General features: G+C 47.2%; 1 protein-coding gene across 8 annotated transcripts in view, besides 6 other annotated features; it reads left to right on the forward strand.

The window, feature by feature from the left end:
* Window positions 7,551–7,650: an enhancer, noted in NCBI's record as "active region_10759". NCBI's record gives its function as "activates an Ori minimal core promoter by ATAC-STARR-seq in GM12878 lymphoblastoid cells {active_cell/tissue: GM12878}" and the evidence as "EXISTENCE:reporter gene assay evidence [ECO:0000049][PMID:35858748]".
* Window positions 7,794–22,765, forward strand: part of ITGAM (integrin subunit alpha M) — a 72,903-nt gene continuing 57,931 nt past the window's right edge. For 7 of the 8 annotated variants that reach the window (XR_950796.1, XR_007064878.1, NM_001145808.2 and 4 more), the window contains exons 1-8: window positions 7,794–7,911; window positions 9,511–9,616; window positions 13,214–13,317; window positions 13,630–13,700; window positions 13,849–13,966; window positions 18,773–18,903; window positions 19,666–19,811; window positions 21,184–21,337. Coding sequence is in view for 6 of the 8 variants with exons in the window: in NM_001145808.2 (NP_001139280.1) it covers window positions 7,884–7,911; window positions 9,511–9,616; window positions 13,214–13,317; window positions 13,630–13,700; window positions 13,849–13,966; window positions 18,773–18,903; window positions 19,666–19,811; window positions 21,184–21,337 (858 nt within the window). In the remaining 2 variants the exon portion in view is untranslated. Of the gene's footprint in view, window positions 7,912–9,510; window positions 9,617–13,213; window positions 13,318–13,600; window positions 13,701–13,848; window positions 13,967–18,772; window positions 18,904–19,665; window positions 19,812–21,183; window positions 21,338–22,765 lie in introns of those variants that run through there. The other variant, XM_011545850.3, reaches the window with a different exon arrangement.
* Window positions 12,873–14,072: an enhancer, noted in NCBI's record as "P300/CBP strongly-dependent group 1 enhancer chr16:31276375-31277574 (GRCh37/hg19 assembly coordinates)". NCBI's record gives its function as "activates an origin of replication core promoter dependent on BRD2, BRD4, P300/CBP, MED14 and CDK7 cofactors, with strong dependence on P300/CBP, by STARR-seq in HCT116 cells {active_cell/tissue: HCT116}" and the evidence as "EXISTENCE:reporter gene assay evidence [ECO:0000049][PMID:35650434]".
* Window positions 13,187–13,666: an enhancer, noted in NCBI's record as "active region_10760". NCBI's record gives its function as "activates an Ori minimal core promoter by ATAC-STARR-seq in GM12878 lymphoblastoid cells {active_cell/tissue: GM12878}" and the evidence as "EXISTENCE:reporter gene assay evidence [ECO:0000049][PMID:35858748]".
* Window positions 19,101–19,626: an enhancer, noted in NCBI's record as "H3K27ac-H3K4me1 hESC enhancer chr16:31282603-31283128 (GRCh37/hg19 assembly coordinates)". NCBI's record gives its function as "activates a minimal SCP1, AML or CMV promoter by ChIP-STARR-seq in primed H9 embryonic stem cells {active_cell/tissue: H9 hESC(primed)}" and the evidence as "EXISTENCE:reporter gene assay evidence [ECO:0000049][PMID:30033119]".
* Window positions 19,627–20,152: an enhancer, noted in NCBI's record as "H3K27ac-H3K4me1 hESC enhancer chr16:31283129-31283654 (GRCh37/hg19 assembly coordinates)". NCBI's record gives its function as "activates a minimal SCP1, AML or CMV promoter by ChIP-STARR-seq in primed H9 embryonic stem cells {active_cell/tissue: H9 hESC(primed)}" and the evidence as "EXISTENCE:reporter gene assay evidence [ECO:0000049][PMID:30033119]".
* Window positions 21,152–22,351: an enhancer, noted in NCBI's record as "BRD4-independent group 4 enhancer chr16:31284654-31285853 (GRCh37/hg19 assembly coordinates)". NCBI's record gives its function as "activates an origin of replication core promoter dependent on BRD2, P300/CBP, MED14 and CDK7 cofactors, and independent of BRD4, by STARR-seq in HCT116 cells {active_cell/tissue: HCT116}" and the evidence as "EXISTENCE:reporter gene assay evidence [ECO:0000049][PMID:35650434]".

Below are 22,765 nucleotides of genomic sequence, written 5' to 3' on the forward strand. Positions count from 1 at the left end.
AATCTCCTGGGCTCAAGTGATTCTCCCACCTCAGCCTCCTGGGTAGCTGGGGTTGTCTCACGTGTCCATGTGAAGAGACCACCAAACGGGCTTCGTGTGAGCAACAAGGCTGTTTATTTCACCTGGGTGCAGGCGGGCTGAGTCCGAAAAGAGAGTCAGCAAAGGGTGGTGGATTATCATTAGTTCCTACAGGTTTTGGGATAGGGGGTGAAAAGCCATGTTTTGCGGGCAGGGGTGGATCTCACAAAGTACATTCTCAAGGGTGGGGAGAATTACAAAGAACCTTCTTAAGGGTCGGGGAGATTACAAAGTACCTTCTTAAGGGTGGGGGAGATTACAAAGTACATTGATCAGTTAGGGTGGGACAGAAACAAATCACAATGGTGGAATGTCATCAGTTAAGGCTATTTTCACTTCTTTTGTGGATCTTCAGTTGCTTCAAGCCATCTGGATGTATACATGCAGGTCACAGGGGATATGATGGCTTAGCTTGGGCTCAGAGGCCTGACAGGATCACAGGAACTTTTCTTGACAATCCAGTGCAATGGAAAAACAGTATTTTATTCTTGTTCTTCCCACAACTTTCTCAGGAGGGCGGATCCTGTAGCAAGTTTCTTCGAGTGTGGTGAGCGAAGCAAATTGGAGGAGCTCAGACGGAGATAATTTGTCTGTGTAGACAAGGAAGGAAATTTGGAGAGGTGGGACTGGGAGATTTTGTTGGGAAGAGAGAAGCCGTGACCCTGGGTGCTGTGCAGGAAAAGGGACGATGAAGACCTGATACCTTCATTCCCCTGAGAGCAAAACTGGAAAATGTTGAGGAATGTGGCAAAGAAGGTTTGCGAAGTTGAGTATAGAGAGTCATGTGATGCAAAACCCACTTGTTTGAAGGAGGTGGGCCAGTGAGCCTGCCGATCCCTGGGGGAAGATTGGTTCCATCAGAGGGAACAGCCAGTGCCATGGCCTTCAGGTGGTGGTGTGCCTGGCAGGTTTGAGGAATGGCAAGGAGGCCAGGGTGGCTGCTGTCCCAGAAAATGAGGTAAGCTCAGAGAGGTAAGGGCTGGGGTTGGGATGACAGGTCATGCAGGTCCTTGTAGGTTGTAGAAAGGACTGGCTTTTACTATCAGTAACGTGGGAGCCTTTGCAAGGTTTTGAGCAGAGGAGTGGCATGATATGTCTTGTGTTTTGAAACAATCCCTCTGACTGCTGTACTGAAAATTGACTTCGGCTGGGCACGGTGGCTCACGCATGTAATGCCAGCACTTTGGGAGGCTGAGGTGGGAGGATGGCTTGAGGCTAGGAGTTTGAGACCAGCCTAGGCAACTTAGTGAGACCCCGTCTCTACAAAAAGATTGAAAAATTACCTGGACATGGGGGCGCATGCCTGTAGTACCAGCTATTTAGGAGGCTGAGGTGGGAGGATCATTTGAACCCAGGAGTTGGAAAAAAGAAAAAAGGCAGTCAAAGGACTGAGCTCTGAGATCCTTCTGAAGAGGTTGGGAGAAGAGGAGAATCAGCAAGAGAAACTGAGAAGGAGGGTCATGGGCGGTAGGCGGGAAGCAGGAGAGTGTGGGGTCAGAGGACAGATGTAGAAATCAGTTCCAGGAAGCGAGGGCCGAGTGTCAGAAGCTGCTGCTGAGTCACTCAAGATGAAGACAGAACTCATCACTGGAGTCACTCAGGCAGCCTTGGTGACCTTGATAAAAATAGTTTAGGTGGAGTAGGTGCCGGGTTGGAGCACAGGCTTGGTTGGAATGGGGTTAAGGGAGGATGTGAGCAGTAGAACAGGGTGCAGCCAACACAGACAACTACTTTGGAGAAGTTTTGCAAAAGGGAAGTAAAAAATGGGCAGTGGTTGATGAGGGGAGTGGAATCAAAGAAAGTCTTGTTTGCTTTTTCAGTAGGAGAAATGTATTGTTTCTGATGGGAACACCAGATTTCTACATACGTATTTTGTATTCTTTCCGAGGGTCTTATATACTTATTCCAGAGCCAACACTGTACTTTTACCTACTGTGGCTTTAGAATATTGCTTTGATAGGGTACTTGTTATGGAATAACATGACATTGTAAGGTATGTCCCATTGCTTTATAGGCTATTGCTGTGTGTTTTCTAGTCCAGTCAATTTTTGAATCAGCACGTCAAATTCTAGAAAAATTCTGCTGGGTGAGATTATAATGAATTTGAGTAATTAAATGGAGAACCGACATCTGTACTGACATCTGTAGTCTTGTAGTCTTGTCATCCATGAAGATGACATATCTCTCTATTCTTTTTTTTTTTTTTTTTTTTTTTTTTTTTGAGATGGAGTGTTGCTCTGTTGCCCAGGCTGGAGTGTGGTGGCACAATCTCAGTTCACTGAAACCTCTGCCTCCCGGGTACAAGCAATTCTCATGCCTCAGCCTCCCGAGCAGCTGGGATTACAGGCATGCACCATGATGCCCAGCTAATTTTTGTATTTTTTGTAGAGATGGGATTTCACCATGTTGGCCAGGCTGGTCTCAAACTCCTGGCCTCAAGTGATCCACCCACTTCAGCCTCCCAAAGTGCTAGGATTACAGGCGTGAGCCACTGCACCAGGTCAATAATCTTTTTTTTTTTTTTTTTTTTTTTTTTTTTTGAGGATGAAGTCTTGCTCTGTTGCCCAGGCTGGAGTGCAGTGGCATGATCTCGGCTCACTGCAACCTCCACCTCCCGGGTTCCTAGCATTCTCCTGTCTCAGCCACCCGAGTAGCTGGGACTACAGGCGCATGCCACCATGTCTGGCTAATTTTTGTATTTTTAGCAGAGACGGGTTTTGCCATGTTGGCCAGGCTGGTCTCGAACTCCTGATCTCAGGTGATCCACCCACATCAGCCTCCCAAAGTGCTGGGATTACAAACGTGAGCCATCATGCCCGGCCAGTAATTTGTTTAATTACATATCTTTTATAAGCTCTTTCTTTCTTCCTTCTTTTTTTTTTTGAGACAAGGTCTCACTCTGTTGCCCAGGCTGGAGTGCAGTAGTGTGATCATGGCTCACTGCAGCCTCCAACACTTGGGCTCAAAATGTCCAAGGGACATTTTGCGAAGTGCGTTTTCAGGGAGATAGTTTGATTTCCCACACCTGTTTGATACATATTAATGTTTAATTAATTAATTATTTATTTAATTAAAAAAATTTAAGAGACGGGGTCTTATTATGTTGCCCAGGCTAGAGTACAGTGTATGGTGGCATGATCATAGCTCACTGCAACCTCGACCCCTTGGGTGCAAGTGATCCTCCTGCCTCAGCTTCCTGAGTAGCTGGGACTACATGTGCATACCACCACACTAGATAATTAAAAAAAAATTTTTTTTAAGAGACAGAATCTTCCTATGTTGCCCAGGTTGGTCTTGAACTCCTGGGCTCAAGCGATCCTCCCACTCTGGACTCCCAAAGTGCTGGTATTACAGGCAGTGAGCCATTGTGCCTGGCATTAGCTCCTTCTTTTCCTCACTTTCCCACCAGTGTTTCCGGAATCACCTTCCAGATAAATTACTTACACTTGAAGCCTTGTCTCAGAGTCCACTTATAGGGGAAATCAAGCTAAGATTTTATCAAGAGTGGGGATGGGGGACAGGTAGGAGGGAACAGCCAACAGCTTATAGATATGTCCCCACCCACGGTCACCAGGTCAGGTGCACACTTGGTGGTGGCTCATTGAGAAAGCCTCTGCAGGTTGGACAGCCAGTCTGAGATCTTGCCTATGTTTTTACAGAGAGTGGACCCTTGGCCACTGTTCAGGGCAAGGAGGGGCCTCCACGTCTGAGTTCGAGCAGCCCCCATAGTGGCCAGAGTGTGAAAACTTTTCCCAAAGCAAACCCAGCTGATCTACTAAACTCCTCCCCGGGCACCCTGGTTGGTATCTTCTCATCTTGGGCTCATGACTTCGTTCGTCCTTTCCTCAGCTTCTTTACCTGCTAACAAATACAGGTAACCTGTTGTTTTAAATTATCTATTGGTATTTTTTATGATTATGAGTCTTTTTTTTGTATAAAGGTCTTTTTTTTTTTTCTCTTTGAGACATGGTCTTGCTCTGTTGCCCAGGCTGGAGTGCAGTGTTGAGGTCATAGCTCACTGTAGCCTCAAACTCCTGGGCTCAAGTGATCCTCTTGCCTTGGCCTCCCACAGCATTGGGATCACAGGCATGAGCCACTGCACCCAGCCTATATAAATATTTTAAGTACAAATGATATAGAAAAGAATATTAAAGTCATCTTGTAGCAGATTGAATACAACCACAAATTCCTCCCATTGGGAGGTGGGATCTGTGTCCCCTTTGCTTGAATGTGGATGAGCTCTGTGACTGCCTGATCAATGGAATGTGGTGCAGATGACTTGGCGCCAGTTTCCAGATCAAGACCTTAGTAGCCTGGAAATTTCTGCTTCCTGTCTGTTGGAACACTTGCTCTTGAAGTCCAGCCACCATGCTGCGAGAAGCCCAAGCCACATGGAGAGGGCACGTGGGGGTGCCCAGGTGACAGCCCCAACTGAGCTCCTAGCCCACGGCCAACTGCCAGCTGTGGGAGTGACCCATTTTGGGAGCCCAGCCCAACTGAGCTTTGGATTACTCTAGCCCTGGTTGTGATCCGACTGCAATCATGTGAGAGACCCCGCTGAGAACTGCTGAGGCCAGGAGATTCACAGATACGCGAGAGATTATAATATGCTGCTGTTTTTAACTATGAAGTTTTGGAGTAGCTCGCTCTGCAGCAATAGATACTGGAACATACCTGTAATCCTCCTATCTTGGAGATAACGACTATTAACATTTGGTTTTCCTGCATATATATATATATATATATATATATATATATATATATATATATATGATTTATTTTTGTATGTATGTACTTATTTATTTAATTTTAATTTTTTATTTTTTGAAACTGAGTCAAGCTCTATTGCCCAGGCTGGAGTGCAATGGTGCAATCTCAGCTCACTGCAACCTCCACCTCCCAGGTTCAAGTGATTCTCCTGCCTCAGCCTCCCAAGTAACTAGGATTACAGGTGCCTGCCACCACGCCTGGCTAATTGTTGTATTTTTAGTAGAGATGGGGTTTCACCATGTTGGCCAGGCTGGTCTTGAACTCCTAATCTCAGGTGATCCTCCCACCTCAGCCTCCCGAAGTGCTGGGATTACAGGCGTGCCTGTATATATTACATGCCCTGCCTATATATATTTTAGAGACAGGGTCTGGCTCTGTTTTCCAGGCTGGAGTGCAGTGGTGCAATCATATCTCACTGCAGCCTCAACCTCCTTGGCTCAAGCGATCCTCCCACCTCAGCCTGTTGAGTAGCTGGGACCACAGGTGTGCATCACTATGCCCAGCTAATTTTTAAACATTTTTTTGTAGAGTCAGGGTCTTGCTGTGTTGCCCAGGCTGGTCTTGAGTTCCTGAGCTCAAATGATCCCTCTGCCTTGGCCTCCCAATGTGCTGAGATTACAAGCAGGAGTCACCACACCTGGCTATATATAAAAATTATAAACAGATAATTTTTAACCAAATGTACATAATTTTAATTGCTTTTTTTTTTTTCAGCCAGCAAGCATTTTTTTCCATCTAGTTATCGGGAAAGTAGAACTAGAGGCAAAAGAAAATGTGTTGAATGGTGAAACCCTGTCTCTACTGAAAATACAAAAAATTAGCCAGGCGTGGTGGCAAGCACCTGTATTCTCAGCTACTCGGGAGGCTGAGGCAGGAGAATCACTTGAACTCGGGAGGCAGAGGTTGCAGTGAGCTGAGATCACGCCACTGCACTCCAGCCTGGGCGACAGAGGGAGACTCCGTTTCACAAAAAAAAAAAAAAAAAAAAAAAGAAAATGTGTTGAGAAAGAGTGAAAAAAATCATTGGCTTGAGAATCACATTGGCGGTCACATAAAGGTGAGGTTTGTGTTCCATGTATGTGTGGAAGGATACCTATTTTCCTGTGCCTTTGAAAACAGAATTAAAAGTGACAGACACAGGGGAGGGTAAGGATATATCACAGAGTGAAGTATCATTGAACCATTCCTCTGTTGAATATTCAGGTTTTTTTAGCTTTTCATATTAACAATAATGCTGCAATGAACAAGCTTGCAAATATATATATATATATATATTTTTTTTTTTTTAGAGATAAGAGTCTTGCTCTGTCGCCTAGGCTGGAGTGCAGTGGCACAATCTCTGCTCACTGCAACCTCCGCCTCCAGGGTTCAAGTGATTCTGCTGCCTCAGCCTCCCAGGTGGGATTACAGGTGCCTGCCACCACGCCTGGCTAATTTTTTTGTCTTTTTAGTAAAGATGAGGTTTCACCATGTTGGGCAGGCTGGTTTCAATTGCTGACCTCAAGTGAGCCACCCCGCCTCAGCCTCCCAAAATGCTAGGATTACAGGCATGAGCCACCGCACCCAGCCAAGTTTGTACATATATTTTTGACTACACTTCTTAACTATTCTTAGGATAAATTACTAGAAGTGAAAATTCTTGGGTGAAGAGCTTGAGGCCTTTACACACACACACACACACACACACAAAAATAGGCTGGATGCAGTGGCTCACACCTGTAATCTCAGCAGTTTGGGAGGCTGAGGAAGGAGGATCACTTGAGTCCAGGAGGTTGAGAATAGCCTGAACAACATAGCAAGATCTTGTCTCTACAAAAAATTTAAAAAAAATTAGCTGGCCATGGCAGCATGTGCCTGTAGTACCAGCTACTCGGAAGGCTGAGGTAGGAGGATCGCTTGAGCCCAGGAGGTTGATTGAAGCTGCAGTGAGCTGTGATTACACCACTGCACTCCAGCCTGGGCAACAGAGCTAGACTCTGTCTCTAAAAAAAGCACAAAATAATATTTAAAAAGCACCAGGTATGCCTGTACTTGAGTTGTCTTTGTTGATGGCTACAAATGAGGACAGCTCTGGCTGAAGGGCGCTTCCATTTCCATGGGCTGAAGGAGGGACATTTTGCAAAGTGTGTTTTCAGGAAGACACAGAGTTTTACCTCCTACACTTGTTTGATCTGTATTAATGTTTGCTTATTTATTTATTTAATTTTTTTTTTGAGACAGAGTCTCACTCTGTCACCTGGGCTGGAGTGCAGTGGCATTATTGAGGCTCATTGCAGTCTCAGACTCCTGAGCTCAAACAATCCTCCTGCCTCAGCCTCTGGAGTAGCTAGGACTACAGGCATGTGCCACCATGCCTGGCTAATTTTTTAAATGTATTTTTTTGTAGAGTCGGGGTCTCCCTATGTTGCCCAGGCTGGAGTGCAGTGGTGTGATCCTAGCTCACTGCAGCCTGGACCTCGGGCTCAAGTAATTCTCACACCTCAGCCTGTCCAGTAGCAGGGGCTACAGGCGCGCACCACCATGCCCAGCTAATTAAAAATATTTTTTTGTAGAGACAGGGTCTCTCTATGTTGCCCAGGCTGGTTTCAAACTCCCAGGCTCAAGCAATCCTCCTGCCTTGGCCTCCCAAAGTGCTGGCATTACAGGCGTGAGCCACTGCGCCTGGCCCGTATTAATGTTTAGAACACGAATTCCAGGAGGCAGGCTAAGTCTGTTCAGCTTGTTCATATGCTTGGGCCAACCCAAGAAACAAGTGGGTGACAAATGGCACCTTTTGGATAGTGGTATTGACTTTGAAAGTTTGGGTCAGGAAGCTGGGGAGGAAGGGTGGGCAGGCTGTGGGCAGTCCTGGGCGGAAGACCAGGCAGGGCTATGTGCTCACTGAGCCTCCGCCCTCTTCCTTTGAATCTCTGATAGACTTCTGCCTCCTACTTCTCCTTTTCTGCCCTTCTTTGCTTTGGTGGCTTCCTTGTGGTTCCTCAGTGGTGCCTGCAACCCCTGGTTCACCTCCTTCCAGGTTCTGGCTCCTTCCAGCCATGGCTCTCAGAGTCCTTCTGTTAACAGGTGCATGGGGGTGGGGTGGGGGACTCTGGGTGGGGAGGAGGGTAACTTTTGGGTCTGTCATAAATAGAGGGCCCAGAATATGTAGGAGTCAGTCTGGGGAGAGGCAAAGGGGATTTGGGGAAGGAGAAAGGGTTCAAGAAGAAGCAGGGAGAACAGCTAGACCCAGACAGGCTGGCCAGGGAAGCCTGGATGAATGACCACATTCATGGACTGTGCAAGGCTGCTTGCCGGTCCCCTTGCTTCACACATGAGGAGACGGAGGCCCAGGGAGGAGAAGTGACATGGCTCAGGGTGCGCAGCAGGTGTGAGACCCCTTTCCTGAGTGCTTCCTCCTGGATCCCCTCTCACCATCTCCACTTTGCCTCCGGTTCTATTTTCCAAGGTCCCGGGTGCAAATGTTTGTTGAATGACTGATGAATGAAAATGATTTGAGTTTGTTACCTTTTATGCTTATATGTTGTGGAAAATGAAATTCTCCTCAAAAGGGAAGGAAATACTTGAGAGCTGCATAGGAAGGAAATTATCTAATTAAGAATGTATAGAAACTTCACTGTTGGGCAAATCATCGTTGTGACACCGGGGGAAGAAGCCATTTAGGTGCTCAGAAGGGAGGCTGGAATTCAGAGCAGGACTGGACGTGCCCCACGACGGTGGTTCTTAGGTCAGGAGTCAGCAAACAGTGGCCTGGGGGCCCGATATGGCCCACGACCTGTTTTTGCACAACCTGCCAGCTAGAGATTGAAGATGAACACTGATAATCGATTTGATGATAGGGAGCACCACCCCCAAAGAATTCTATTTGTCTCATTTGTAAACCCGTATTACAAACAAATTGTACTCAATCATTATGTTTGAAATTTCCCTAATGACAAATTTGTGGAAAAGTATTTTCTGTCTTGTTATATAAGTACTTGTACAACATATTCTATCAGCCTCTTGGTCTGCAAAACCTAAAATTTACTATCTGGCTGTTTACAGAATAAGTGTGCTAATCCCCGCCCCAGGCTAACAGAGCTGGACCTGGGAGGCAGACATCTGGATGCTGGGTTAGTTAGGGTGACCGAATGGATGGGAAAGGGAATGGAGCAGGAAGACATGCTGCTATCTTTTTTTTTTTTTTTTTTTTTTGATACAGGGTCTTTCTCTGTTGCCCAGGCTGTAGTGCAGTGGCATGATCATGGTTCACTGCAGCCTTGACCTCCTGGGTTCAAGCAATCCTCCCACCTCAGCCTCCTGAGTACCACTACACCCGGCTAATTTTTTATTTTTTGTAGAGATGGGGTCTCACTGTGTTGCCTAGGCTGGTCTTAAACTCCTGAGCCCAGGTGATCCTCCCACGTCAGCCTCTTAAATTATTGGGATAACAGGCCTGAGCCACCACACCCAGCCATTGCTTTCTTTTAAATTATTATTAGTTTTTGTTTTTTTTTTGTATTTAATTTTGAGATAGGATCTCTCTCTGTTGCTCAGGCTGGAGTGCAGTGGCACAATCAGGGCTCAAGTGATCCTCCTGCCTCAGCCCTCCAAAGTGCTAGGACTACAGCCCCTAACTGGCATGCTACTTTCCTCTGCTTGATCCTTCCCCCATTCTCCCTTTAGCCTTGACCTTATGTCATGGGTTCAACTTGGACACTGAAAACGCAATGACCTTCCAAGAGAACGCAAGGGGCTTCGGGCAGAGCGTGGTCCAGCTTCAGGGATCCAGGTGAGACCCTTAGATGGAGCCCCCTTTCTCAGTGCTTTCTCTCCAAGACTTACATACCTGAAAAAAATCAGCGATTTGAGTGATCTTTTTCAACAGATAAATCAATTCAAAATATACAACAAATTCATCTTTTGAATTTACAGTATTCTAAATTCAAAAGATGCAAAAGGGTGTAAGAGTAAAAATCTCTTCCTTACTCCCTTCCCCTAGTTCCCTTCCCAGGAGGGACCTCACAAATGGTTTCCTGGGTGTTCCTTCGGGGAGACTCTGTGTGTGCATAACACATACACGTTCCCTCCCTCAGCCAACACACCATGTGTAGTATACATTGTACTGAAATTAAGGCCTGCCTGCAGGCTGCCGCCTATTTTTGTGAATGAATTTTATTGAAAACAACTCCGTCCACTTGTCTCTTACTGTTTATTGCCCTTCCCTCCCTTCCTCCCTTCCTTCCTTCCTTCCTTCTTTCCTTCCTTCCTTCCTCCCTCTCTCATTCCCTGCTTCCCTCTTTCCCTCCTTCCCTCCCTTCCCTCCCTTCCATCCTTCCTTCCTTCCTTCCTTCCTTCCTTCCTTCCTTCCTTCCTTCCTTCCTTCCTTCCTTCCTTCATTTCTTTCTTTCCTTTCTGACATGGTCTTGTTCTGTCATTCAGCCTGGAGTGCACAGGTGAAATCATAGCTCACTGTAGACTCAAACTCCTGGGCTCAAGCAATCCTCCCACCTTAGCCTCCTGAGTAGCTGGGACTACAGGCATGTGCCACCACACCTGGCTAATTTTTTGATTTTTTTTGTATAGACGAGGTCTCACTCTGTTGCCCAATCTGGTCTCAAACTCCTGGCCTCAAGTCATCCTCTTGCTTGGGCCTCCCAACTTGCTGGGATGATAGGTGTAAACCACTGTGCCTGGCTATGGCCACTTTTGAGCTGTAATGGCAGAATTCAGGAGCTGTGATAGAGATTGTATGGACCCTGAAGCCTAAAACATTTACCTTTACAGAAACAGTAATTGTGGAGGTGATAGTACCTTTCCAGAAGAAGGGGGCTGGTCTCTGCTCTTTGCTTTATCTCCCATAATACAGCCCAGTGATTTGAGTCCATTAATCCCATGTTATGCTTGCATTGCATGCCATAATTGGGAGATGCTATAATTTATTTTATTTTATTTTTTTAGAGACTCCCTCTGTCGCCCAGGCTGGAGTGCAGTGGCATGATCTTGGCTCACTGCGACTTCTGCCTCCTGGGTTCAATCGATTCTCCTGCCTCAGCCTCCTGAGTAGCTTGGATTGCAGGTGCCTGCCACCACGCCTGGCTAATTTTTGTATTTTTGTAGAGACAGGGTTTCACCATGTTGGCCAGGTTGGTCTTGAACTCCTGAGCTCAGGTGATCCACCTGCCTCGGCCTCCCAAAGTGCTGGGATTACAGGCTTGAGCCACCGTGCCTGGCTTGTAATCTCCTTTTACATTACATTAGATCTCTTGTTAATGAACATTTAGATTGTTCCCAAACTTTTGCTCTATGAACAATGCTGTCATTTTGCACATGTGCAAGCCTATTTGGAAGTAAAGGCTAGGACTGGGATTGTGGTATCCACGGGTGCATGAGCACGTGCAATTTTAATAGATTTTTCCAGATCCCCCTCTACAGTGGTGGCAGCAATTTACACTCACACCAGAAATTCATGAAAATACCTACTTCCTCATACTCCCTCACTCATTTGCCAACTCAGTGTGCTATCAAACTTACTGATCTCTGCAGATCGAGTAGGTGAGAAGTGGTATCTTAATTTAGCTTTAAATTGCTTCTTTTTTTTTTATGAGAGAGGCATTTTCTGTGAACATGTTTTTCTTATCTGTTGGCCATTTTTCTTTCTTTTTTTTTTTTTTTACTAGTTTGTACAAGCTTTGAGTACACTGAGGAAAGTAGTCTGGGGTATGAGTTGTGAAGCTCTCTCCCTTGTGTATTATTTTTCTTTTGAGTATGCTTATGGTAGTTTATCACATACAAAAATTTATTTATTTATTTATTTATTTATTTATTTATTTATTTATTTATTTATTGAGATGGAGTCTCGCTTTGTCGTCCAGGCTGGAGTGCAGTGGAGTGATCTCGGCTCACTGCAACCTCTGCCTCCTGGGTTCAAGCGATTCTCCTGCCTCAGCCTCCCGAGTAGCTGGGACTACAGGTGCGTGCCACCACGCCTGGCTAATTTTTTTGTATTTTTAGTAGAGATGGGGTTTCACCATGTTAGCCAGGATGTTCTCGATTTCCTGACCTCGTGATCCACTTGCCTCGGCCTCCCAAAGTGCAGGGATTACAGGTGTGAGCCACTGCGCCTGGCCCAGAAATTTATTGAAAATGACTGTGTGGAGGCTGGGTGCAGGGGCTCACGCCTGTAATCCCAGCATTTTGGGAGGCCGAGCTGGGCTGGTCGCTGGAAGCCAGGAGTTCGAGACTACCCTGGCCAACATAAGGAAACCTCATCTCTACTAAAAATACACAAATTAGCCAAGCATGGTGGCACACACCTGTAATCCCAGCTACTCAGGAGGTTGAGACAGGAGGAATGCTTGAACCTGGGAGGCAGAGGTTGCAGCAGTGAGCCGAGATTGCACCACTATACTCCAGCCTGGGTGATGGAGTGAGAATCTGTTTCAAAGAAAGAAAATAAATAAAAATAAAAATAAATAAAATGACTGTGTGGGCCGGGTCCAGTGGCTCATGCCTGTAATTCTAACACTTTGGGAGACTGAGGTGGAAGGATTGTTTGAGCCCAGGAGGCAGAGGTTGCAGTGAGCTATGATTATGCCACTGGACTCCATCTTGGGCAACAGGGTGAGACCCTGTCTCAAAGAAAAAAAAAAAATGGTTGGCCTGGGACTACAGGTGTGTACCACCATACCTGGCTAATTTTTAAAAACATTTTTTGTAGAGATGGGGTCTGGCTATGTTACCCGGGCTAGTTTCAAACTCCTGGCCTCAAATGATGCTCCTGCCTCAACCTCCCAAGGTGCTGGGATTAAAGGCATGAGCCATGGTGCCCAGCTTGAATTGACCTATTTTTATTTTTAAAATTTATTCATTTATTTTTTGGGACAGAGTCTTGCCCTGTCTCTCAGGCTGGAGTGCAGTGGTGCTATCTCGGCTCACTGCAACCTCTGCCTCCTGGGTTCAAGCAATTCTCTTGCCTCAGCCTCCCATTTAGCTGGGATTACAGGTACGCACCACCACGTGTGGCTAATTTTTTGTATTTTTAGTAGAGGCGGGGTTTCACCATGTTGCCCAGGCTGATCTTGAACTCCTGAGCTCAGGCAATCCACCCCCTTGGCCTCCCAAAGTGCTAGGATTACAAGCATGAGCCACCGCGCCTGGTCCTATTTTTAAATGACTTCTGGTTTTTGTGTCATTCTTAGGAAGACCTTTTCTCATTCTGAGTCTTAACATTTTCCCATTTTTTTCTTTGCTAATTCTTCCTCCTAGTCATAGGAATTTAGGAATCCGGGTATGGGCCCCCACCGTCCTCTGGGTGGCAGAACTTCCTCTGTGGTCTCCTTCTCTCCCCACATGTCGAAGTTTTCTCTGTTCCCACTTCTCCCCACAGGGTGGTGGTTGGAGCCCCCCAGGAGATAGTGGCTGCCAACCAAAGGGGCAGCCTCTACCAGTGCGACTACAGCACAGGCTCATGCGAGCCCATCCGCCTGCAGGGTGAGTCACTGCCCCGCCGGGCTGGGACTGGGATTCCCCTGTGAACACATAGGGACTTTCCAGGCACTCCTGTGTCCTGGGGATCTGTGGTGGGGACACAGGTGCCTGCCTCCGTACCCTCTCCTCTGCCTGCAGTCTCTACCCTAGACATCCCCAGGCAACCCCTCTGTGTTCCTTTCTTTCCCAAGATTTAGGATCCCCCTTCACCGTCAGACCTCCTTGTCTCCCGCATGGAGGTGACCCCTGCCCAGCTCTTCCACAGCCTTCTCTGTCCCCCCACCAGGGTGACCATGCCCATATCTGTCCCCGCAGTCCCCGTGGAGGCCGTGAACATGTCCCTGGGCCTGTCCCTGGCAGCCACCACCAGCCCCCCTCAGCTGCTGGTGAGTGGGGCTCGATCAGAGGAGCATCCTAATGGGGGTGTTTGGGGGCCCACGCATGGTGGGGCTGGGGGTCTTGTGGAGGGTGGAGGTGCTGGGGTACAAGGACAGGAAGCAGGGGCAGCCCCTTCCACTGGCTCCTGTCCCCTAGGCCTGTGGTCCCACCGTGCACCAGACTTGCAGTGAGAACACGTATGTGAAAGGGCTCTGCTTCCTGTTTGGATCCAACCTACGGCAGCAGCCCCAGAAGTTCCCAGAGGCCCTCCGAGGTGGGTTGCCTTTGGCAGAGGGAACAGATGCGCAGCAAAAGACCAGGGGAGGGGGCAGGACTGAGGTGACGTCTGCTCAAGGTCTGGGCTCTGGGTGCAGAAGAGTGGGGGAACTGGGTCCCATTAGAGTCAGAAGCTAGGGAGGTGCTAGGGTCTTGTACTTTAGGAAAACGCCTTGGCTAGGCACAGTGGCTCATACCTGCAATCCCAAAGCTTTGGGAGCCCAGGAGCTTGAGATCAGCCTGGGCAATGTAGTGAGATCCTGTCTCTAAAAAAAAAAAAAAAAAAAATTAGCTGAGTGTGGTGATGAGCACCTGTAGTCTTAGCTATTTGGAGGCCAAGGTGGGAAGATTGCTTGAGGCCACAAGTTCAAGGCAAGCCTGGGCAACATAGGGAGATCCCCGTCTCTACAAAAAAAAAAAAAAATTAGCCAGGCGTGGTGGCACACACCTGCAGTCCCAGCTACTCAGGAGGATCACTTGAGCCTGGGAAGTTGAAGCTGCAGCAAGTTATGATTGCACCACTGTACTCCAACCTGGGTGACAGAGCAAGACCCTGTCTTTAAAAAATAAGTCCAGGTCACACTGCAGAGGAGGGGATGGTGCAAGGTGTCATTGGCAAGAGGTGGGAATCTTGGGGACCATCCTGGGGGGCGGCCTTCCACACCCCTGTTCCCCAAACCTCTGTTGATTGAGATTCTGAGTGACTGTATGGATTTTTTTTTTTTTTTTTTTTTTTGAGGCAGAGTCTCGCTCTGTCACCCAGGCTGGAGTGCAGTGGCACGATCTTGGCTTACTGCAACCTCTGCCTCCCAGGTTCAAGCGATTCTCCTGCCCCATCTTCCCAAGTAGCTGGGATTACAGGTGCCCGCCACCACACCCGGCTAATTTTTGTATTTTTAGCAGAGACGGGGTTTCACCATGTTGGCCAGGCTGGTCTCGAACTCCTGAGCTCTGGTGATCTGCCCACCTTGGCTTCCCAAAGTGCTGGGAATGAGCCAGGGAATGAGTGGGGGGCATGAGCCACCATGCCTGGCCAGAGTGCGTGGATCTTTCAAGCTGCTTTTTCCCACTGCTTTGTTCGATGGCTATGCCATCTTTTTGCTTGTCTTCATGTTGATTCTGGGACCACAGGCGAATGTTTCTCCCTTGCATTTTTTTTCTTTCTCAAGCCCTGTTCCTCTATATTTCACCCTCCACAGTTAATCCTCCTTCCTCCACAGAGAAAACAAAAGCTTCAGGCATGGACTCCCTCCACTTTCCCCTTCTCTTATTTTATCTTAATAAGCGGTTTTCCAGTCTTCACTGGAATTTGTTGACAAATTCTAAAGGAGCTGTAACACCGCACTTTCTCCTTTTTCTCAAATTTCCATAATGACAGCACTCCTGGCAGTGACTCACTCGTTTTAGAGGAAGACCTGTCTCTCCTCTGTCCCATGACTAAATTCTTCCATATGGGCTTTTGAGAGTCTCTCATGCACCAACTAAGGTGATCACCTATCTTTCTTTTTTCTTTTTTTTTTGGAGACAGGGTCTTGCTCTGTCACCTAAGCTGGAGTGCAGTGGCACAATCTCGGCTCACTGCAGCCTCTGCCTCCTGTGCTCAAGAAATTCTTGTGCCTCCGCCTCCAGAGTAGCTGGGATCACAGGTGCGCATATACTGATTTTTGTATTTTTTGTAGAGATGGGGTTTCACCTTGTTGCCCAGGCTGGTCTCGAATTCCTGGGCTCAAGAGATCTTCCCACCTCAGCCTCCCACAGTGCTGGGATCACAGGTGTGAGCCACTGCGCCTGGCCCAGCATCTCTTGAATCACTTGTTTTCTCTCTAGGACAATTAACTTCCCCCTTCCTCTGGCTGTAAACACTCTTCATTCTATCTGTATCTGAAAAGCAATCAACCACCACAATCGATAGCCATGAAAACAATCTTCTCTCTTCCAGTCTCCTCCTCATCTCCTGCCATCTCTCCTCACCCTCACCACCCAAGCTTCCTGAGTGCATTCTCTTCACCCCCGGCTGGCCTCCAGCTTCCCTCTCCACCTAGGGGCACTGGGTTCTGGGTTCTCTTTTCACCCACGTGTTCTTCTTTCCTGAAATCACCCAGTTCTGTGGCTTCAGCTAACACTTCTACCTCTCCCTCTTTAGACCTCACTCTCAGGGTTCAAGACTACTTCTTTAAAAAAGTTTTCATTTATTAAAAAATATATAATACATACACTTGGTTCAAAATTCGAAAGGGTGCGGTAGCTCACACCTGTAATTCCAGCACTTTGGGAGGTCAAGGCAGGAGGATTGTTTGAGGCCAGGAGTTTGGGACCAGCCTAGACAACATAATGAGACCCCATCTCTACAAAAAATGCAATTAGCCAGGCATGGTGGCGTGTGCCTGTGGTCTTAGCTATTCAGGAGGCCTCCCAAAGTGCTGGGGTTACAGGCATGAGCCACTGTGCCCTGCCAGTCTTTCTAAAATACAAAACAAATCATCTCACTTCCTTTTCTAAGAACCTTCTGTGGCTCCCCATTGCCTACAGATAAAGTCGAGCTCCTTATTGGAGTAGAAAGGCCCTTGCCCGCTGCTCTTTGCTTGATGCCACCGCTGTGTCTCCATCGCCGTCACATACGTTTGTCCCTGTAGTGCTGTTTCCATCAAACGGCATTCCTGGATTCTGCCAGAATCCTTTTGAGGCCCTTGTCCCATATATCAGTAGGAGTCTCAACTGGGACCAAAAGCACATTCCAGTAATGTAACTGCCCAAGGGGTTCACCTTGCTTGCTGCCTAGACAGAGCCGATTCATCAAGACAGCAGAATTGCGATAGAGAAAGAATAATTCACACAGAGCCAGCTATGCAGGGGACCAGAGTTTTATTATCACTCGAATCAGTCTCCTCGAGCATTTGGGGGCAGAGTTTTTGAGGATAACTTGGTAGGTCGCGGGGGAAGCCAGTGAGCTGGGAGTGCTGATTGATCAGGGATGAAATCATCGGGAGTCGGAGCTGTCTTCTTGCGTTCAGTTGGTTCCTGGGTGGGGGCAGCAAGATCGGATGAACCAGTTTATTGATCTGGGCAGTGCCAGCTGATCCATCAAGTGCAAGGTCTGCAAAATATCTCAAGCACTGATTTTAGGAGCAGTTTAGGGAGGGTCAGAATCTTGTAGCCTCCAGCTGCATGACTCCTAAATCATAATTTCTCATCTTGTGGCTAACGTTAGTCCTACAAAGGCAATCTAGTCCCCAGGTAAGAAGGAGGTCTGCTTTGGGAAAGGGCTGTTACGATCTTTGTTTAAACTATAAACTATAAACTATAAACTAAGTGTCTCCCAAAGTTAGCTCAGCCTACACCCAGGAATGAACACGGACAGCTTGGAGGTTAGAAGCAAGATGGAATCAGTTAAGTTAGATCTCTTTCACTGTCTCAGTCATAATTTTGCAAAGGCGGTTTCAGTAAGATTTATTTACAAAGAGGGGGGTTTATTTATAAAGGGAGTAATTATAAAGCTGTGACAGGCCTAAGGGAGCCATCAGGGACTTTCCAAGCCCTGGGCAAGCAGGTCTGTTGCCACCCCTGGGTTTATGGGTTGAGGAGAGGGAGAGCTCACCAGGGTCTGGAGAGAGTCATGTGGAGCTGGCTTCCTTCTGAGGAACAGTTGGTCTTTTGTGAAGGACATAGCTGTCCCCAAACAACCTCAATGGGAGAACACCCGGACCTCACTGCCCTCCTCCCTCTAGTCTTCTGTTGAGCCCCCTCATCTGCCAAATCCAATGGGAATCCAGAGGGCAACAGAGTCCTGGTGATGGGGTCCCTGCAGGTTGACCTCCCAGGCCACAGAGCTGAGCGGCAATGGGTAGAAAGTGGATTTGGGGATGGGGCAGAAGGCAGAGGAGCACATTCCACATCACTTTATATGTGTGTGCCCTTCCCTTTTCTAGAATCTACTCCTTTTGTATATCTGGCAAATCCTTCCTTCCTTCCTTCCTTCCTTCCTCCTTTGCTTTCCTTTCCTTTCCTTTCCTTTCCTTTCCTTTCCTTTCCTTTCCTTTCCTTTTTTTCTTCCTTTCTTCCTTTTCTTCGAAGTCTTGCTCTGTGACCCAGGCTGGAGTGCAGTGGTGCGATCTCAGCTACTTTTTGTATTTTTAATAGAGATAGGGTTTCACCATGTCAGCCAGGCTGGTCTCAAACTCCTGATCTCAAGTGATCCACCTGCCTCAGCCTCCCAAAGTGCTGGGATTACAGGTGTGAGCCACCTCGCCCAGCTGGGCAAATTATTTCCTGTTCTTCAAGATTCAGTCAAACATCACCACATTCCCTGATTCCCTTGGGCAGAATTAACGAAAATTTTCCATACCACTTTGTCCTTGTTTATTTACTTATTTATTTATTTTTAAGAGACAGGGTCTTTCTCTGTGGCCCAGGCTGGAGTGCAATGGCGTGATCATAGCTCACTGAAGCCTCAACCTTTTGGGCTGAAGTGATCCCCCACCCTCAGCCTCCTGAGTAGCTGGGACTACAGGCATGTGCCAACATGCCTGACTAATTTTTAACGTGTGTGTGTGTATATATATATATATATATATATATATATATATATATATATATATGTTTTTAACGTGTGTATACATATATATATATACACACACGTTAAAAATTATATATATATTATACATAATTTATATATATATTTAACATCTATATTTTTTATAGAGACGGGGTCCTATATTCTCATTGTTCAGCAGAGGGCTGACATGCAAAAAAACCCAAAACACCAAGTGTCAAATTACTTGATTCATACTCTTTTCCCCTTCCCCAGGGTGTCCTCAAGAGGATAGTGACATTGCCTTCTTGATTGATGGCTCTGGTAGCATCATCCCACATGACTTTCGGCGGATGAAGGAGTTTGTCTCAACTGTGATGGAGCAATTAAAAAAGTCCAAAACCTTGGTGAGGGCCCAGGGGTAGGTTAGGGAAGAGCCCACACGGGGCTGGAAGATACATGGCAACCGGGCCACCATGTTCTCCTCCCAGTTCAACTGCAGACATTGCCAAATTGACGATCGATTATGGTTTGCCTTCCTGAGTCTCTTTTCTGCTCTGTTGGATGCAGCCTCAGCATTCTTTCAGCCTTTTATAAAGCGGGCAGCTCTAATTGTTAAGGTTGGCATGGGAGATGAAGCCCACGTGTCATTGCTGGCTGAGTTCTATTTTCATTTTTATTTCTTATTTTTTTGAGACAGAATCTCACTCTTTCTCTCAGGCTGGAGTGCAGTGGTGTGATCTTGGCTCACTGCAACCTCCGCCTCCCGGGTTCAAGCAATTCTCTTGCCTCAGCCTCCCGAGTAGCGGGGATTACAGGCGCATGCCACCATGCCTGGCTAGTTTTTGTATTTTTAGTAGAGACGGGGTTTCACCATTTTGGCCAGGCTGGTCTCAAACTCCTGACCTCAGGTGATCCACCCGCCTCGGCTTCCCAAAGTGCTGGGATTACAGGTGTGAGCCACTGCTCCCGGCCGCTGGCCGTGTTCTAGTATTGAGGAGAGATGGGAGCTGCTGGCAGCTCTCCGTCCTGGTGAGGCAGGGGATTAGGGGCAGCACAGAGGAGGAATTTGGAGAGTGGAGTGTTTAAGATCTTCGTGGAGCTTGCTGGGAGATGTCTGAGGGGTGGGGGCACCTTCTCCAGCATCACACCAGCCGCCCCCTCCGCAGTTCTCTTTGATGCAGTACTCTGAAGAATTCCGGATTCACTTTACCTTCAAAGAGTTCCAGAACAACCCTAACCCAAGATCACTGGTGAAGCCAATAACGCAGCTGCTTGGGCGGACACACACGGCCACGGGCATCCGCAAAGTGGTGTAAGCTTCCCCTTTTCCCTTAGGATGGAGGGAGGAGGAGACACTTTTAGCTGGGCTTTGATGGATGAAGGGAGCCGTTCAGACAGGGGTGGTAGAGGATGCTTCCCCACCGGCAGAGGTGGGGAGGCTGTGCGTGGTGTGTTCATCAAAGGACAAGTTGTGAGTGAAAGGTGGGAGTGGAGTGGGGAAGTGAGGGAAAGGTGTCTGGAGGGAAGCTACAAAGATCAGCTCAGGCCAGGGAGCCAAAGGCAGCTTTACAGCCTGTGGTGAGATATCGCCATGTCTCATTTTGGGAAGTTCACTCTGATTTTGAGGTGGGTGTAGAGGCAAGGATGGGGTTGGGACAGAAGTACAAGAAGCACTGGAGAGTCCTAGAGGGGCTGGGGAGCTGGTGCAGTGCTCTGGGAGAGGTTTCCTGAAGGCCAATTAACTATATATATATATATATATATATATATATATATATATATATTTTTTTTTTTTTTTTTTTTTTTTTTTTTTTTTTTTTTGAGACAGAGTCTCACTCTGTCACCCAGGCTGGAATGCAGTGGCCTGATCTCGGCTCACTGCAACCTCCACCTCCTGGGTTCAAGCAATTCTCCTGCCTCAGCCTCCTGAGTAGCTGGGATTACATGCGTCCATCACCACCATCAGCTAATTTTTGTATTTTTAGTAGAGACAGGGTTTCACCATGTTGACCAGGCTGGTCTTGAACTCCTGACCTCAGGTGATTCACCTGACTTGGCTTCCCATAGTGCTGGGATTACAAGTGTCAGCCATAAATATATATATTTTTAAAATTCAAAAGTAATAATACTCAGTTAAAAAACCCAAATTATGCGAAAGTATAAAAACAAAAACCGTGAAGGCTTCCTTTCCCTTCCCTGCTGCTTTTCCAGGTCTCGGGGCAGTTGCATCTCAGTGCTAAGTCTCAGGGGAGACGGAGCCCCTCCGAGACCTCGCCTAGCTGTATCTGTGTCTGGGACTCTGCTGACATTTCCTTTCTGACGTTAATAGCATCTCTGGCTAGGTGCAGGGTCTCATACCAGTAATGTCAGCACTTTAGGAGGCCGAGGTGGGAGGATCACTTGAGGCCAGGAGTTTGAGACCAATTGACAACATAGTGAGACTCTATCTCTAAAAAGATAAAAAAATAAACCAAGTGTGGTGGTACATGCCTGTAGTCCCAGGTACTCAGGAGGCTGAGGCAGGAGAATCACTTGAGCCCAGGAGTTCAAGTCTGCAGTGAGCTATGATTGTGTCTCTGCACTCCAGCCTGGATAACAGAGTGAGTGTCTATTTCTTAAAAAAAAAAAAAAACTAGTGTGTCATCTACTTGCATTTGACTTTGTCCCTCCTGTTTCCTGCACAGACGAGAGCTGTTTAACATCACCAACGGAGCCCGAAAGAATGCCTTTAAGATCCTAGTTGTCATCACGGATGGAGAAAAGTTTGGCGATCCCTTGGGATATGAGGATGTCATCCCTGAGGCAGACAGAGAGGGAGTCATTCGCTACGTCATTGGGGTAGGGAATGCAGCTCTCAGGTTGATGCTTCTGTGGAGGGTTTCTATGTGGATCCATCCTCCCTTCAATTTGCAAATATTATTAAAATCAAAGTGACATGAGAGCTAATGCTAGCTCATATACACCGTATCAGCTATCTGTTGCCACATCAATGCTGTGTAATAAACTATCCCAAAATTCAGCAGCTTAAAATAATAAGTAAGCCTGTGGGTCAGCCTGCCAAGAGTTCTGGTCTCAATGGCCTTCCTCACTGTCATTAGCTACAGGTTGGCAGGCTGCTCTGCTGATCTTGGCCAGGCTCTCTCTGTTTCTGAGGGTTGCCAGCTATGTCATCTGCTGGACCAGATGGCCTTGGGTGGAACCACTGGGGTGACTTGGCCCTTTGGCAACCTGGCTCTCATTCTCCAGGGCTAGCCTGGGCATGTCCTCATGGTGAAGGCAGGGGAGCAAGAGAACAGTGGAGATGTTGCAAGTGCTTTTTTACGCCTCTGCATCATGTTTGATAACATCCATGGGTGTCACGAGCAGTGCAAGGTTAGCGATAACCAGGTCCATGCAGGTTTGTGTTTTTCCACAACATCTTTCGCTGATGCTATTTCAATCACAAACGCCACAAGCTGCATGGAATTCCCAAGGAGGCAGTTCTTCTTAGTGCATCCTGTTCCCTCAGACACTCTGGCTCAAGCCACCCACAAGTCAGTCAATATTGCAAACCATATATAATAGTATACTTAATCAATATATAAGTTATAGGTTAAACATTCCACAGCAAACAAAGTAACATTTAACATCAGAAGAAAAAGAAAGAGGAGAAAGGATGAATGAAAAGGACTCCTGGTCTGGGCCCAAGGGTCCTGGTCCTGTTAGTCTTGCAAGGCAGAGTCTTTGATACGGCAGAGCCCTCGGCAGCAAATGCCAGGCTCTCATCATGAGCGACTGCGAGGTGTGAGTTCCAACAGCTGCTTTGAGCTGCTGAAGGCCTGATCTCTTCTAGTCACAGAGCTGTCTGGTGAGAACAGACAGAGAAGAATGTGCTTGTTTGCATCCTTATCTGGTTGGATGTAGTCTTTATTTGTTTATTTTATTTATTTATATTTATTTATTTATTTATTTTGAGACTGAGTCTTGCTCTATCGCTCAGGCTGGAGTGCAGTGGCATGATCTTGGCTCACTGCAACCTCCACCTCCTGGGTTCAAGCAGTTCTTGTGCCTCAGCCTCCTGAGTAGCTGGGACTACAGGCATGCACCACCATGCCTGGCTAATTTTTGTTTTGTATTGTTAGTAGAGATGGGGTTTCACCATGTTGGCCAGGTTGGTCTTGAACTCCTGATCTCAAGTGATCTGCCCGCCTTGGCCTTCCAAAGTGTGGGATTATAGGCATGAGCCACTGCACCTGGCCTATTTAAAAAATTTGTTTAAAACGACCT

This window comes from Homo sapiens, chromosome 16 (genome assembly GCF_000001405.40).
Source record: "Homo sapiens chromosome 16, GRCh38.p14 Primary Assembly".
NCBI classification, from domain to species: Eukaryota; Metazoa; Chordata; class Mammalia; order Primates; family Hominidae; genus Homo; species Homo sapiens.